General features: G+C 36.7%; 1 protein-coding gene across 11 annotated transcripts in view; it reads left to right on the top strand.

The window, feature by feature from the left end:
* NBAS (NBAS subunit of NRZ tethering complex) overlaps positions 1-18,349 on the top strand; it is a 782,426-nt gene that overhangs the window by 354,434 nt on the left and 409,643 nt on the right. For all 11 annotated transcript variants that reach the window (XR_007076390.1, NR_052013.3, XM_017004317.2 and 8 more), the window contains one exon: positions 16,498-16,637. Coding sequence is in view for 9 of the 11 variants with exons in the window: in XM_017004317.2 (XP_016859806.1) it covers positions 16,498-16,637 (140 nt within the window). In the remaining 2 variants the exon portion in view is untranslated. The remainder of the gene's footprint in view (positions 1-16,497; positions 16,638-18,349) is intronic.

The following is an 18,349-nucleotide window of genomic DNA, read 5'->3' as shown; positions in this document are numbered from 1 at the left end:
TCTCCATGAGGGCTGCAACCCTGTAGCAGACGTTTTCCTGGACCTCCAGGGATTTCCATACATCCTCTGAAATCTAGGTAAAGGCTCCCAAAACTCAACTTGTGTCTTCTGTACACCTGCAGGCCCAGCATCATGTAGAAGCCACCAAGTCTTGGGGCTTGGCTTGCACTCTCTGAAGCAATGGCCTGAGCTCTGTGTTTGCCCCTTTTAGCCACAGCTGGAGCCTGAGTGGCTGGAATGCAGGGCACCATGTCCAAGGCTGCATAGAGCAGTGGCGCCCTGGGCCTGGCCCATGGAACCATTTTTCCCTCCTAGGGCCTCTGGGCCTGTGATTGGAGGGGCTCCCATGAAGATCTCTGACATGCCCTGGAGACATTTTCCCCATAGTCTTGGCTATTAATGTTTGACTTCTCTTTACTTATGCAAGTTTCTGCAGCTGGCTTGAATTTCTCCTCAGATAGTGTTTTTTTTTTTCTACCACATGGTCAGGCTGCAAATTTTCCAAACTTTTGTGCTCTGTTTCCCTTTTAAACTAAGTTCCAATATCAGACCATCTCTGTCTTTGTGCATATGAGTGTACACTTTCAGAAAAAACCAGGTCACATCTTGGACACTTACTGCTTGTAAATTTCTGCCAGATTCCCTAAATTATCATTTTCAAGCTCAGAGTTCCACAGATCTCTAAAGCATAGCAAGAGTGACCTTTATTCCAGTTCCCAATAACTTCCTCATCTCCATCTGAGACCACCTCAGCCCGGATTTCATTGTCCATATCACTATCAGCATTTTGGTCAAAACCATTAAAGTCTCTAGGAAGTTTCATACTTCCCACATCTTCCTGTTTTCTTCTGAACCCAAACTGTTCCAACCTCTACCCATTACCCAGTTCCAATGGTGCTTCCACATTTTCAGGTATCTTTATATCAGTGCCCCACTATCTCGGTACTGATTTTCTATATTAGTCCTTTTTCACACTGCTATAAAGACCTACCTGAGACTGTGTAATTTATAAAGAAAAGAAGTTTAATTGATTCACAGTTCCACATGGCGGAAACTTATAATCATGACAGAAGGTAAAGGAGAAGCAAGATCTTCAGAAGGCAGCAGGAGAGAGAGGGGGTGGAAGGTGCCAGACACTTATCAAACAACCAGATCTCGTGAGAACTCTATGACAAGAACAGCAAAGGGGAAGTCCACCCCCATGACTCAGTCACCTCCCACCAGGCCATTCCCCTAAAATGTGGGGATTATAATTCGAGATGCGATTTGAGTGGGGACACAGAGCCAATCCAACTCCTGCTCTTTCCTGGTTTCCATTGGCATGGAATATCTCTTTTTTTTCCCCCTTTATTTTGAGCGTATGTTGTCTTTATAGGTGAAGCATGTTTCTGGCAACAGATCATTGGGTCTGGTTTTTTTTTTAATTTATTCAACCACTCTATGTCTTTTGATTGGCGAATTTAGTCCATTTCATTCAAGGTTATTATTGATAAGTAAGGACTTACTCCTGCTGTTTTTGTTGTTGTTGTTGTTTCTTTTGTGTTGTTGTCTTCTCTTCCTTCTTTTCTTCTTTCCTGTCTTCCGTTTAGTGAAGGTGATTTTCTCTTGTGGTATGAGTTAATTTCTTGCATTTTATTTTTGTGTATCTGTTGTATGTTTTTTGATTTGAGGTTATCCATGCATCTTACAAATTCTGTGTTATAACTCATTGTTTTAAGCTTATAATGTTAACATTGTTTGCATAAACAAAGAAACAAGCAAAATGAAAATTAATAAAAACTCTACAGCTTAACTTCATTCCCTGGCTTTTTAACTTATTGTTTTATTCTATTTATATCTTATTCTGTAATTTCATATTGCTACTTCTTTTTTTAATTTTTTTATTTTTTATTATTATAGTTTAAGTTCTAGGATACATATGCACAATGTGCAGGTTTGTTACATATGTATACCTGTGCCATGTTGGTGTGCTACACCTGTTAATTCATCATTTACATTAGGTATATCTCCTAATGCTATCCCTCCCCCTTCCCCCAACTGCATGACAGGCCCCAGTGTATGATGTTCCCCACCCTGTGTCCAAGTGTTCTCATTGTTCAATTCCCACCTATGAGTGAGAACACGCGGTGTTTGGTTTTCTGTCCATGCGATAGTTTGCTCAGAATGATAGTTTCTAGCTTCATCCATGTCCCTACAAAGGACATGAACTCATCCTTTTTTATGGCTGTATAGTATTCCATGGTGTATATGTGCCACATTTTCTTAATCCAGTCTATCATTGGTAGACATTTGGGTTGGTTCCTAGTCTTTGCTATTGTGAATAGTGCCGCAAAAACATACGTGTGCATGTGTCTTTATAGCAGCATGATTTATAATTCTTTATTGCTACTTCTAATGCCAGCCCAGTCTCACAGAGTTTATTCTAGCCTTCTCCCTTTTCTTATTTGTAAACTCCTCTCTCTGTCAATAAGAAACTTAGGTTCATTATCCATAATATATTTATATATTTGCTCAATCCTGGAGTACATATGAATTTTGAAATTACTGGGTAGAGTACAATATTTTTGAGAGCTCTTTTTATGTTTAGACTTCAAGTAAGAGTACTGATACTTCTTTTCTTTTTCTTTTTCTATTTTTCTTTTTTGAAAGGGTCTCACCCTGTTGCCCAGGCTGGAGTGCAGTTGACCAATTGTGGCTCGCTGCAGCCCCATCCTCCTGGCTCAAGGATCCTCTTACCTCAGCCTTCCAAGTCACTGAGACCGCAGGCATGCACCACTATGCCCGGCTAACTGTATATTTTTCGTAGAGATGGGGTCTCACTATGTTGCTCAGGCTGGACTCAAACTCCTGGGTTCAAGCAGTCCTGCTGCCCCAACCTCCCAAAGTGCTGGATGCATTATAGACATGAGCCACTGCACCTGGCTTATCTGGTTTATGTTTTTCAAAGTCACTTAATTCCCTCCTCCTCCCCACTCACACACACACACACACACACACACACACACACACAAGCACACACACACACACACAGACACAGACACACACACACAGACATGCCACCTTCAGTATGATTATCTTATTCACTTATTAGTAGTTAGGTTCATTTTTTTCTTTTTATATGTTTTGCCCTATTACTGATTTCAGGTATTCTTTTTTGAATATGTGAAATATTAACATGGAATATGAGATCATTCTCTGGGATTTAGTGCTTTTTTTCCATTTTCCTTATGGTATTTTGAAGTATGGACATGCTTGGTCTATAATTGTGCTGAATGTGTGGGTTTTGTGTAGTTTTATTTGTTCTTGTCATTCTATTTTATATTTGGAGAAAATATAGGTAGACATAATTCATTGGTTGCCAGTTTCTTCTGTTACCCTAAAGTCTCCCTGCATAATTTCTAACTGGAATAAAACTTAACATCAAAGTTAAAACTCTAGAAGTACAACAGAAATCTCTTTTCCCTTAAGCTGTGAAGATACTACATGCTCCATGTTTTGAGGGCCTTCCATGGACTTAACATTAGGCTTCATATGTGTATCATTTCATCTAAACGTTGTAACAGCCCTGTAACATAGGTGATCTCATCACTCCATTCATCACATAAGGAAATAGACTCAAAGTGGTTAAGAAATTTGTGTAATATCTCAATGCTAAAGTATGACAGAATGATATATAACTATGAACTATCCATACTAGTAGCTACCATAGATGCTCAGTGTTAACTCAGTGTTAGACACATGTAAAGGTGTATGTGTATGTCTGTATGGTATATTATGTTATATGTTATGCTATACTATATTATTCTCAAAGTAATCTGATATTGCTAGTTAGGTATTATTACCTTATTTTTACATATGAAAGCACTGAGGCTAAGAGAGGTATTTTTATGTAATCACACAGCTATTAAGTGACAGGGCCAATATTCAAATCTGAGTCTGAATGATACACTACAGCGAGAAAATTTTCAGCTGTATGAATTATTCTATTAAAACTTCATCAAATTTAACTCAAAGCAAAGTATGGCCTTAGTTTCAATAGCAGCTGTTTAAAATAAACACACATGGCCGGGTGCAGTGGCTCAGGCCTGTAATCCCAGCACTTTGGGAGGCTGAGGCAAGCAGATTACCTGAGGTCGGGAGTTTGAGAGCAGCCTGACTAACATGGAGAAACACGTCTCTACTAAAAATGCAAAATTAGCCCAGCGTGGTAACAGGTGCCTGTAATCCCAGCTACTCGGGAGGCTGAGGCAGTAGAATCACTTGAACCCAGGAGGCGGAGGTTGCAGTGAGCCAAGATCGTGCCATTGCACTCCAGCCTGGGCAACAAGAGCGAAACTCCATCTCTAAATAAATAAATAAATAAATAAATAAATAAATAAACAAACAAACACACGTATTTATAGGGGGTCACATGGCACTATATGATTGATTATTTGTCTTAGAGAAAAAATTTATAAGGCAAAATCTTTCCTCTTCTTATTTTAACACAAAATATTTCCCCTTACATGTTTTTAAGTGTTTCATAAAATATATTTAGTCATGTAAAAATATGTATTACATATCGAAGTGACAGCAGCACTTATGGGGAGTGATTACAGCATGTTTTATTGTGTAATTTCTATGTTTACAGGTATAATAAAATAAGTAGGGTGCTGTAAAGCATGGTTCTGAATTGCAGTTGTTGGATTCTGTGTGTTTAGATATGTTTCTGTACCCACGGATGTGTAGGCTGCTTGGGAGCCTACATTCCTGTTCTTTCATTGGGTTTCTCCCCATCCCAAGGGGTGTTTGCAGTGCCCTAGGAGAGACTTTCTGTGGCAATTGAAAACCATTTATTCTTAAGCAGTTTATAAACAGGCACTCATTTTCCTACTCTTCCTTTGAAAAGAAGCAGAGCTAAAAGTTTTTGCTGATCACCAGACCTAGAAGCAAAAGTGGGAAAGAGTTCAATTTCTCATCTCTTTCTTCCTGGTCAGGACACTCTTTCTGTGCAGGAGATCTTCTCACCCTTGCATGAGCTAGGGACAATTGTTTGAACCTTCAGACTGTCTCAGCAAAACATTTTGCCTTATATGAGCTGTGCAAGGTCAAGTATTTAGAAAATTGTCGCCATATCTGCATCTGTTTTTTAGTTCCATAGAAAAGGGAGAATAAGCAGAAAATAGCACCCTTACTTTTAATGTTTAAACTTTGATGATTTTCCATACTTTGATATTTTCTATTTAATAAAATCCATAAATATCCAGAAATGAACAAAAATAGAACATATCATATTTATATTTTCTTATCTAATAGCAATAATTCAGACTATAATTAATAAAAATAACAGTCATAATATTGTTTATTAAATACTTGCTGTGTGCCAAGCACTGGTCTAAGAACTGCTTAGATTGGTGGGGAATGTTGGTAGTCAACAGCTTATGACTGGTTTTGGTCTTCTCAAAATTCCCTTCCACAGAGATATTAATTCAATCCAGTAGACACAACAGGCATTATTGGCCACCTGAAACCTTATCAAAGAAGTGGCTTTAACAGGCAGAGGTCTGGTATTGCTAGAGGTTAACTCTGTCACCTTTTGATATTTCTGTATATCTGTTGAAGCTGAGGATTTTTGTTCATTCTGTTTTTTGAAGCCTTGCATACAACGACATCTCAATATGACTTTATTGTGTTCATGAAAGGTATTGCACAGTTATTTTGCAACTTCAAATCAAGTGTCATTATATGAGTCTCTTAGGAGCAGGCTAACAGCTTACCAGTTCTTATGGAAGATAAGAGTATGGTGATTACTATTCTGTGAGTTACCTGGAGCAATAAAATAGTAGTAAAAAACATTTCTTAAAAAGAATATGGTGGTTACTGTCTCTACTGCCAGGAATAATTCTCTTCATATTTGTAAATCTTGTCTATTTATAAAGTACTTTTAAATGTATTAATAACTACATCATATTTGTAAATTTCTAAAGATAAAATAAGCAACTGTCAATACCTGTAGGAAGATGCATATTTCAAAAGTACCCTAATTTAAGATATTTGTGTTCACTTCCAGGAGCCATAGAGAAATTTGAGGTTAAGACTGTCTTCTACTGATAATAGGTGACTTAGTTCACTTTTTCAAGGACAGTGACTCTGTGTCTGATAAGAAGGCTGCAGCTATATGACAAATTGACATACACAACAAGGGCAAAAGTCACCTAATTCAATGAGGAGAGAAACAGTGCTTTCAGAGACAAAAGGGAAAAAAATATTCTTATGTTTGAGTCACATTTGAATTTTGTTCTTTATAATCCTAGGATGTTTTGTTAGTTGTGTCAGTATGAAATAACACTAACTATTACAGGTGCCTGTAAACTATTTGACGTTTTCACCTCCAGGATTTTGTTTGACACTCACTGTGGAAGGGGTGGGGATGTTAAAAGAGGTATATGTTACTTTCTTGTTCACTGGGCAAAAGGACAAAGTAAAAGAAAATGTAGTAAAAAAAAATAGTTTATTTTGTTTATTTTCACTAATCTGTGGAAGGCATGCTTAAGAGTCATTTGAAATACCATATTTATTGCACAAGTAAATGAGATTTTAAAAAGAGATGAAAATCAACCTACAATTTTATTTTCCCAAAACAGACATATTTGTCTGTCTTCTTTTCCTGTCCTGTCTAGTCTATAGACATAATTCTCAGTAGAAGTAATCATAACAAATATCCAGCTTTTGGCCAGGCACAGTGGCTCATGCTTATAACTCTGGGAGACCAAGGCAGGAGGATTACTTGATCCCAGGAGTTCAAGACCAGCCTGAGCAACATGGGGAGACCCCATCTCTACAATAAAAAAATTAGCCAGGCATAGTGGCATGTGCCTGTGGTCTCAACTGCTTAGGAGGCTGAGGTGGGAGGGTCACTTGAGCCCAGGAGGTTCAGGCTACAGTGAGCCCTGATTCATGCCACTGCACTCCAGCCTGGGTAACGGAGTAAGACCCTGTCTCAAAAAAAAAAAAAAAAAAAAAAATCCAGCTTTCTGTTTTTAATGTTTGGTACATTATGTGGTTGATAATGTAATACCTATCATTTCCTGTGTGCCTACTATGCACCAATCTTTGCCAGCTACTTTATTCCCATTATCTTATTTAGTATTCACAATCATCATATAAGTATTTGTTATCTCTGTCCTATGGAAGAGGAAAAAATCAAGTCTTAAAAAGGTCAGTAAATGTCTCCATAATAAACATTTTTCTGTATTATTTTGACTTTATCATCACTTTTTGAAAGCCATGTATTAATCAAATTTACCTATTATCATTTATAATTCCTGTAGTGAGATATGTTGAAGCATTTGATAACTACCTGTAATTTTCAAATTAAAATATATTCTATAGTAATTTCCCATTGTAACTATCTGGAGACTTACATGAGATCTCTGTACTCCTCATACTTTATGAAATATATTTAGATGCTTGGAACATATGTATTTTATAGGTACTATACTACTTTCTAGCAAAGAGAGAATTTGATTCTTTTCTAGGTCCACATCCATGCTAAGCCACGTGCCTTATTTTCAAGTATTTTGGCGAATTCAAATTTCTGTAATATTCATACTAATCACATGTTCTCACAACTTCAGTAAGCCTCTGAGACCCATTTGCTTCATCTTTTGTGATTTGTGATCTTAGGGCAATATTTCCTTCTCTAATTTTTTTCAGATAATTTGTTAGATTTATGACGTAGTTGTTTCTTCAACTTAAGGTTAATTTTTCTAACTCTTTTTTTTTTTTTTTTTTTGAGATGGAGTCTTACTCTGTCGCCCAGGCTGGAGTGCAGTGGCACAATCTCAGCTCACTGCAAGCTCTGCCTCATGGGTTCACGCCTTTCTCCTGCCTCAGCCTCCCGAGTAGCTGGGACTGCAGGCACCTGTCACCAATGCCCGGCTAATTTTTTGTGTTTTTAGTAGAGACGGGGTTTCCCCATGTTAACCAGGATGGTCTCAATCTCCGGACCTCATGATCCACCCGCCTCGGCCTCCCAAAGTGCTGGGATTACAGGCGTGAGCCACCGCGCCCGGCCAATTTTTCTAACTCTTAATGAGCAATATTAGCTATAGTATGCACATACATTGGGCCAAAGATGTCTTTCGGAAAGTAAGTAGACAAAATTATCATTTGTATTGTGCTATTTTGCAAGAAATGTATATTAATCATTTGTTTTGCTCCATATTCCCTGCTGACCACTAGGATTTAATTATAGCTAAAACTCAGAGGAACTGGCATCAGTATTTTCAACCTTTGGAACATACACAATGTTCCCAAGCATGTAGTTGTCCTCATGTTCTGGCCCCAGCACACTTTATTTACCGCTTCAACCACAGTTCACCTTCATGAGCCACAAACTACTACTCAGCATCCCTCTGTTGACTCCCCTCATCTCTACCCAGTCTTCTCTTTTTTCCCTTACCTCTACATGTCCAAATGCTACTCTTCCCTCAGATCCTTTCTCGTGTGCCACCTTGTCCCCTTCCTGATCTCGAGTTAACTTCTCACTTCTTATAGCACTATAAACCGTATGTCTCTTAAGACCTTTATCAGATTGAATGTGTTACAATAAAAGCCTTCTAACTACCACCTGAGTCAGGTACTTGTGTATTAAAGTGGAGATCATAAAATATGATATATGCATACCTTAAATATTTGTGTGAAACTAAATATATAAATGAGCATTCATTTGCCAAATATTTACTGTAGAGCTAAGGCCTTTTCTTAAATATCCAAGTTAACTATGCTTGCAGAGCAACTGACACTTTCTTCCTGTGGTTTTATATGACCATCTAAATGAAAAGAATAAAAATGTCTACTTTGTGTGTGTTCATTTTTATATGTCTCACAATATATGAAGACAACTGATTTGTCCAGACTGCCAATGTCCATAATCTACTTCTCATGGAAAAAGACCCTCTTTTGAATCATATCTGCATTTGCATAATCATATGCAAAACAGTTTGCAGTTTCAGCAAAACTAAAAGGGAACATGGAGAGCATTTGACTTTTTGATTCCAGAAGCTGAGTTGAATTGAGAGGGATGTTTGAGATGGGGGTAATTCAAATGTAGGCAGAGGAACACATTAAGTCCTTAATATCAAAGTAGGTCAACATAGGCAAATGGACAAGTTACAGGTTAGAAACATAGTAATGGGAGGAAGTACCATTACAAGGAGTAGATTGGGGCAAGATGTTTAGAACTGAAGCTGAGAGTAACAAGAGAGGGCTAGAATTTCCCTTTCCATGGTGTGTGGCATGAGACAGAACTCCTCGTAGGACTGGAAGACATAAACTTATTAGTTGAGGATCGTCTGTCTAATTTCTCAGGCTTTGTCTTGCTTAATTCTCACAAATTGAATGGTCATCTCTCCAATCACTGTATCTCTAGTAAAAAAAAGTAGATGCTCAGTTAGTGTTTGTGGAATTGAATGAATATAACCCTATGAAGTAGACGTCATCAGCACAAATTACAGATAAAGAAACTCAGACCTAGGCTAGACTGTTTGCACCAGGTTACATAGGTATTGTAATAAGTGGCAAGGGGTAGTGAGCAGATGAGGGTTGGAATGAAAAACTAGGATTGTATGACTTTGGCTATGCAAAATATATGTTTATGCTTCACTTCATTACTGAGGAAGCCTCTGTACAGTCCTACCTAATAGCCACTAAATTGTGACGGCTCTTATACATAGCATTGAGACGGCTCTTATATATAGCATTGAGACCTGTTTATAACACTGTTGACTACAATTCAAACTTAGTTTGCTTTCTACTGCACCCCTAAGGTATCAGCAAGCTTTCTTAATTTTATCTTTATGTTGAAGTCAGGGAATGGATCCTTAGTGGTCAGTAGATTTGAAAAGCCCTATTTTTTATTTCATTTTGTGTGGTGTTGTATCTTTGTTTTCTTTTTGCCATAACTGATCATTTATAAAGTGATTTTATGGTTTAATAAAGGAAGGATAAGTCACCAAATACAGACCCATCTGTTAAACAGGCATGCCAATTTCCTGTGGTTCTTGTGTATGTTTCTTTCTTTAAACGAACAAACAGAAACCTCCAATTATGAAAACAATGCATGTTAAACCAAGAAAAGTACCAAAAGGCAGGTAGAAGTGATAATCACCAACAGATCTGTCATCCAAGTGTAAACATTATATTAAATATATATGTAGCCATTTTTCTGCTGCATGCTTTATACAAATTATGTCACATCATGTATAGGGATTTTTCCCCTCAAATTGTATTCTGCTTATTCATCTTTATTTTTACATCATGATTTAGTTTGTTTTCTGCATTTTGTTTGTATAAGCATTTTCCTCTGTGAAGTTTGTTCTGATTGCATTCATTTTCATCCTCCTTTTCAAAATTTAGATTTTTATTGAGATAATTATAGATTCATATCCAGTTGTAAGAAATAATACAGAGCAATTTCTGGTGCACTTTGCCTAGTTTCCCCTAATGGTAACATTTTGCAAAACTACAGTATAATATCCAACCGGGATATTGACATGGATACAATTTGCTGGTTTTATTCAGAATTTTCAAGTTTTACTTGTACTCATTTGTGTGTCTTTGTGTGTATTTAGTGCTATGCAGTTTTATACCTGTATAGGTTCATATAACCAGCACCATAGTCAAGATGTTAGCAATGGCAAATCCATATGGCTTTGTAGCAACTCAGTTCTTGCCTTCTTGAAGTAAAGAACTCATCCAAAGGATGTAAGGCAGAGAGAGCCCGAGGCAAATTTTTGAGTGTGAGTGAGAGTATATTAACAGGTTTTAGAGCAAGAATGAAAGGAACGAAAGTACATTTGGAAGAAGGCCAAGCAGGCAACTTGAGAGATTCAAGTGCCCTGTCTGACCTTTGACTTGGGGATTTACACATTGGCATGCTTCTGGGGTTTTGTGTCTCCTCTCCTTTGAGTTTTCTTTGGCATGAGCTGTCCACATGCTCCATGGCATGCCAGCCCTTGGAAGGGGCTGTGTGCGCAGTGTGTTTACTAGAGTTGTACGCATGCTCACTTGAGCCATTCTTTTCTTACCAGTGTAGTGTTCCTACAGGATGTTCATATACCAGTTAAACTCCACCATTTTGCCTCTTAGTGTACATGCTTGAGCCCACTCACCCAACTCCTGAGATCCAATCAGGAAGCTGCTGATCACCAGCTTCAGGAGTTTTCTGTCTATTGGGAGACTGCCTTTCCCTGATATCTGCTGCAACCAATTATTTTAGAGAGACATTTTAACAACCACTTGACCATCACCTGATGGTCACCTAACATTCCTGGTGTCAAGGGAGTGGAGTCTGTTTCCTCTCCTACCCTGCTCATGTCTGCCTAGCTACCCACTCTAACAAAGATACTGAATAGTTCCAACAACACAAGGATCCCTTTTATAATCACATCCACCCCATCCCTAACCCCTGACAACCATTAATCTTTCCCCCATTTCAGAGTGTCATATCAAAAATATTACATAAATGGAATCAGACAGTATGTATATAACCCTTTGTGAGTGACTTTGTTTACCCAGCAAGAGAGGGCAAGGTGGAACTCTTCCTTTTTATCAGGAACCCATTCCCAGTAAAACTAACGCAGGCCCTAGCTGAGCCTTAATCCATTCAGAGCATCACTCTCGTGACCCAATCACCTCTTAAATATCTCATCTCTTAATCCTATCACAGTGGCAATTAAATTTCAACATGAATTTTGGAAGGGACATTCAAACCATAGCAGATTCTATACATGTAAATAATTTATTTTCTTTGGAGCTATTATAAATAATACATGTTTATTTTTGGTTTTCACATATTTATTGTTATATAACAATGTGATTGATTTTTATATGTTGATCTTGTATCCTATGACATTCCTGACTCGTTTCTTAGTTTTAGGGTTTGTTTTATTGTGTGTGATTTCTTTGAATTTTCTATATAGACAATTTATCTGTAGATAGAATTTTATTTTTTCTTTCCAATTTATGTCTCTGTTATTTCTTTTTCTTGCATTATTGTAGTGGCTAGATCGTTCAGTATGGTGCTGAACAAGAGTGGTAGGAGTGGATATCTTAGCCTTGGCATGTAATATGGAAATCTCACCTCCATATTTGGGTCAGTCCCTTTACCTTCCCCACTTTTAAATATTATTGTCTTGAATGTCATATGGTTTACAACTTTTGTTCTGATCATCAAATATGATTTAGAACATGTATGTGGAAAAGAACAGTCTATTGTATTTACCCATATTTTTGCTCTTTTTGTTCTTCCTTCTGATACTTCATAGTTCCTTCTTTTATCATTTTCTTTAAGAAAGAAGAACTTTGTTTAGCCAGTATTTAAGATGAGGGCTATTAGTGGCAGGTTCTTTTAATTTGTCTTTGTCTGAGAATGTTTTCATTTTCTTTTTTTCCTGAAGAATAGCTTTGCCAGATAAAGAATTTGTAGTTAACCGTTCTTTTCTTTCAGCATTTGAAAAAATGCGACACTTCCTTCTGGCCTCCATGATTTTGGATAATAAATCCATTATTATTCACATTAATGTTCTCCTATAGGTAACGTTGTTCTGTCTGCTTTCAAAATTTTTCTTTTTCTACCTACTTTTCAAGTTTCAAATTATGGTGTAACTTGGCATGAATTTCTTTGTGTTTGTCCTGTTTGGGAATAATTTAGCTTCTTGAATGTGTGGGTTTGTGTCTTCTACCAAATTTTGGAAGTTTTTAGATATGTCTTATAATATCTTTTAGCTTCACGCTCTTTCTCCTTTTCTTGTGGGATTCTGACTGCAAATGGGTCTGCTTGAGCTCTGGTCTGTTTCTAGGTCCAGAATTGGGAAATACTAGGTCTGGGTGGGCTTCTTTTATTTTGATTTTTTTTTTGGCTGGAGAGACAGAAGATATCTGAATACCATGTTCTTTAGGCTTGCAACTCCAGGCTAGTGTACTTTCTTTTTACCACTCTTCAGAATTTTCCCTTCACTGTCTCTTTTATGACTCCTATAGTTTATAGTTGTGCTTTGCAGAGGAGCAGAGAGAAGTGGATAAGCCATGTTGTTCAGACTGGGAGCCCTTTACATAAGTTTACCTTTTATTTTTCTTTACACAAAAATTCATTTTGAATTTTTGAATTTGTGGACACAAATCTTGGATTCGCACTTGTTATATATCAAAGTATATCATGATTATCCAACCAAGTATATTCTTTATTATGTTTTAAAAGTATATGCTCAAGTCTAATTTTAGGCCCATTTTCTTCTCAAAAATTCAAAATTCACCAGAATTTATTGCAAAAAATCTTAAAGGATGTAATAAAGAAGATAATATTAACATTCGTTTTTTAGATATTTTAATATTTGGGCACAATCTTAGATGAGCACTTGTTGTATTTGAAGGTATATAACAATTATCAAACCAAGTATTTCTTTATCATGTTTTAAAAATATGTGCTGAAGTCCATTTTTAGGCCAATTTTCTTCTCTCATAGAAGGTAAAGCTTGCAGCTACAGTGGTAGCAAATTTAAAATTGCATTCTTAAGAGCTGAGTAACTTGACTTGAAACGCTTTGATATGATGGAGTATGCAAGCATGCACAAATGGATAAGTATGTAAGTTACTGTATTTTTCACATTTTTAGTTAAAATATGGGGGTCAAGGCTCTGAAAAGTAAGTTACTAAAAATTGGAATGATTAGTGGACATTAGAAGAAAACATTTTCTGACAAAGACATACTCTTAAAAAGACTACATGTGAGAAAGGTGCTATACAAAAATAATTTATCAAATACATTTTAAACATGGGAACTATTATTTGCACACTATTATAAAAACAAATATAAAGGTTTAACTTATAGTTTCTGTTCTCTTTTCTTCCCTTATGATATAGTTTATTTCCTCAAAATGTATATTACAGTTTCTGAAAAGTTCAGGAATAAATTTAGATGGTATTGAAAACATGATTCTTTTATTGTTAATCTCTTCCTATTCATACAGTGCATCACATACAGAAAATAACCCATATAAAGTGTACATTTGATAAAAAGGAGAAACTACTTGTTACTAACTATGCTGCATTTAATTATAGTAGTTGGAATATTGACACTGCTAGGAACATTGGAAACACTTCTTACAATGGATTTTAGATACTTCTTAAGCACAAACCTTTCCTGCATATAAACTCTCATGTAGACAGAGATTATCCTGCAGGAAGAAAAGGCTAGCAAAACTTCTGAGATTTCAACATTTTTGGAACCCATTTTTCAGATATGATGCCCAGAGTGACCTTAGTGAAATCACTTAACAGTCACAAAGTATCATTTGTGTAGTTGTAATGTTAGCAAACCTGCCGTCTTTTGTCCTGATTTTTAATTTAATAGTAATTTTTCTTTTGGCAATATCATTTTCTTTTTAAATCTTACATTAATCTCTAATAATGAAACCAGCCACAAATTTATGGCAACTCCATTTGTATTTAATATAATTTATACTAAATTATTTTATAAGTGACAAATTCATTCATTCACTCATTCATTCATATGTATGTCCATTCACTAGTTAATTCACTCAATAAGTACTTACTGTGCATATACTCTATAGCAGGTATTATTTTAAGGAGTTGAGATAGACCAGTGGACAAAAAAAAAAAAAAAATAGCCTCTTCTTTCAAGGAGCTAACATTTCTTATGGAACAAGAAAGGCAATCTTACATTTCTTACGGAAGAAGAAAGGCAACAAGTAAATATATAGCATGTCACATAGTTGTAAGTGCTAAGAAGGAAAATGAAACAGGGTGAAGGAGATGGACAGGTATGGAGCAGTGCTCCTGTAAGTAAGGCAGTTGAACAAGGCCTTGACTGATAGGTGACATTTGAGAAACTTGAAAGGAGGGAGTGAGTCACTCAGATATCTGGTGGAGAGGGTATCTGGCAGAGGAAACAGATCAGAATGCCTGAGATGGGAGTGTGCATGATTTTACGTATGCAAGGGACCTCAAAGGGACCCTGAGGCTGGAGACAGGTTGAAGGTGGTGAGGTCGGAGAATTACGGATGGATGGATGTCTTGAGTTTTTGTTTTTGGTTTTTTAAGTTTCTTTATAAATAGGCAAGGCAACATTGCCAAACTCCCAACTCAAGGTCCAACTCTATTATCAAAAGCTTATGTAGCTTATTGAATCTTCTAGTTTCAGAACATCCTGATCTGATTATAGTGATATTTTGGCTCTGTCACTTGCTAGTCGTGCCACCGGGATGGTTGGCCTGTTTCCTCATCTGTAAAGTGAGATTACTAATACCTGTGCTGTCCTCCACACAAAACTGCTGTAAGGGTAAACTGACTGACTGTATTGTGAAATTATTTCAAAAAAGCTACAAAATGGCTGTGGGCTATTATTCCATAGAAGAACGACATGGGCTTTTAAGGCAGGTTTTGAAGGATCTGGTGGGTCACTGTGTGAACAAGGCTTCCCATAGCAATTAGTGATAATTTCATAGTACATAGCAACTTTTGTAAAATGCAGAATTCATGGTGTGACTTTTTCGGATGGCTTCTTGGGATCAGAGCCAGAATGACCATTAAAGTAAATGTTTTGGAAATATGCATTAGTGCAGACAATGTAGCATGTATACAGGTAACCATTCATTCTCATTATCCTTTCAAGGTATCATCATCTGAATGTCTGTACCCAAATCATTATGAACTCATCATCATGAATGTCTGTGTACCTAAATATAAACAATCTATGCTGAGGCTAGAAAATGAGAGAACCAGACTTTGGCTTATTTTTATGCTTAAAACTGTTTTTTAACCTAAAATAGCATACATTTTCATCCACAGAGACATTGGAGATGTGATTTGTTTTAGGACTGCCTCAATGTAAAAGAAAAATCGTTTAGTTATTCAATGAAAGGAAAAATGGGTGTTTTGTATTTGGCAGAGACTACTTTTTCATTCGAAATGGAGGTATAAATAAAGGATATTTTATTCTATTTTGATTTATAGCAAAAAAGTTCTATGACAGATACACTTTAGTAAAATCATTTCACATTAGAGACATTTTCTAGACAACATGAAGATTAGGATTTCATTTCTAATGAAAATTAGGATTTCATGTTGGGATAACTTAAACTTTAAAAAATTCACCTAATGTTGAGGATGGTGAAATATTACAATTTCAAATAAAGCAATTCAGTCTCTTAACGTGTATTAAATGCCAACAAGCCAGTTCTGTGGAAGTCTGCTTGTTTGAATTTACTTTGTTAAAGTTAATTAGAACCTTCCTCTGATTGTAGTTCTAAACAATTTTAACATAATCTGACATTGAGTAAGGCTTAGAGCTTTTGAGGTGGTTGTTTTTCTGATGTTGAATCTTAACACATTGTAAAACATTTTAAAAAAAAGTTTAATTAAAATAAAGTAGAATTATTCTATAAACCAATTCAGTAGCCTTTGCCACCAGCTTTAAGTGTGTATTTCTTCTTCCAGGTAGACATAGCTGACATTGAGAATGAAGAGAACCGCTACTGTCTATTCATGGAACTCCTGGAATCTAGTCACCACGAGGCTGAATTTCAGCACTTGGTTTTACTTTTGCAAGCTTGGCCACCTATGAAAAGTGAATATGTGTAAGTATTAACATAAAATTAGCGTAATTAGAGTTCTTTTGTTTGGACTTTAGCCCTAAAAATGTAGCACCTTCCAAAGAGCCAATGAAAGAATAATTATATGTGTGTGCGTAGTCAGTATTTGCCTTTAGAGGAATTTAAAATTGTTTTTGAAATATTGCAATGTCTTTCCGTTTCTCCTTGCCCCTAAACTCTAATATTTTATTCAAAAGTATCAGACAATGCTTGATAATATCTGATTTATGATGTCAACAAAAACAATGTAGTTTCAGTATTTTCACCAGGAAATTTCTTGACTGTCTTGACACGGCTTACAGTGCCAACTTGAGAATCCAAATGGAATAAATGAATAATTTCTACTTATTGAGAACACAATGTTATGTGCAATTTACATATATTATCAGTCACTCACACAACACACCTACAAGGGAAGGTGATGTTATCTGATTTTATACATGAAGGAATTGAGGCTCAGGAGTTAAACAACTTCAGGCTTCACACGGCTAATAAGTGGAGGAGACAGAATTCTAACCAACTGCTGGCTACCTTCACAGCCCCTGTTGTTTCCTCTGTCACACTGAGTTGCAGCTGCCACCCGTAGCTGCGTGGGGTACTTATCCAGTCCTGGTGGTATCAGCCATGGAACATACCCCTTTCCTTTGGAAGAAGTGGTCAGATTTCCTCTGAGCTCATGGACTGGGTCTCATGAGCTGTGGCTTCTCATTGGCAAATGATATGAGCACCAATGCCCTTGTCGCAAGTGCCTGTTTGGCTCAGGACTGATCTTGCTCTCCCCATGCTCAGCTGACATACTGCCCCCACAGGCCAGTGAACATCTCCACGTGTCTGAGGTTAAAGAAGGATGCTTTTCTGAAAATAAAGTCCTATATCCTGTGAGCAGTTAGGACTGCCAACAAATATCTGGAAAAGATTCCATGAGACTGTTAGTAATTTCCAAAGCAAACCAAGGAGAATGGTGCTTTCACTTTGTGGTATTTTTTTAACCAAGTGTTTTCAGAAAGAAAAGAAATGTTTCTTAGATCTCTACCTTTGTGGCAGCGATGGCATGCTGACTTGTTTTTAAGAACAGGTTTTTACCTTCACTATTTGAAATCCACAGTGCAGGCTCTCACATCATAACACCTTTAGTTCACAGTGCACTTGTGTTTGCCACCAGTGATCTTGGTGTGGGTGCCTTCGGAGCCTGGGGTGCTTGTTCAAAGCAGGGTCCTGGGTCCTGTGCTCAACTTGTGGAGTCCATCTCTCCATACTGGGACCTGGGAATCTGTTCTGAACACACTCCTGGGTGAGACTATGTGAGACAGGTGTGGAGCCCACTGATCAGATTGCCACTAATGCCATACTTTTGTAAGGAAATTAATTATTAGAGTTGAATTGTAGATTTCTTCTTAACCCTCATTTCCCAATTCAAAATATGACACCTCTAAGAGATTAACTTTAGTTTACAGTTTCTTTTACTTTTAGAACACTGACCATTTAAAATCATTCACTTATTCTCAAGAACCAAAATCAGCTTTACTTAAAACATTTATTGCATTTAAAACATTTAGTGCATTTGTAAACCCAAAAATCTTAATTTTTAAAGTTGTATTCTTTTGTAGCCACATATGAAATGGAATTTGTAAATTACTAACCTGAGTCTTATAAAACTGCTTTATTAAATCATTAGAATCAGAACAAAGCATTTCCCA

The sequence above is a fragment of the Homo sapiens genome, chromosome 2 (assembly GCF_000001405.40).
Source record: "Homo sapiens chromosome 2, GRCh38.p14 Primary Assembly".
NCBI lineage: Eukaryota > Metazoa > Chordata > Mammalia > Primates > Hominidae > Homo > Homo sapiens.
The sequence above is the reverse complement of the archived record's forward strand: the minus strand, read 5'-3'. Positions and strand labels throughout refer to the sequence as shown.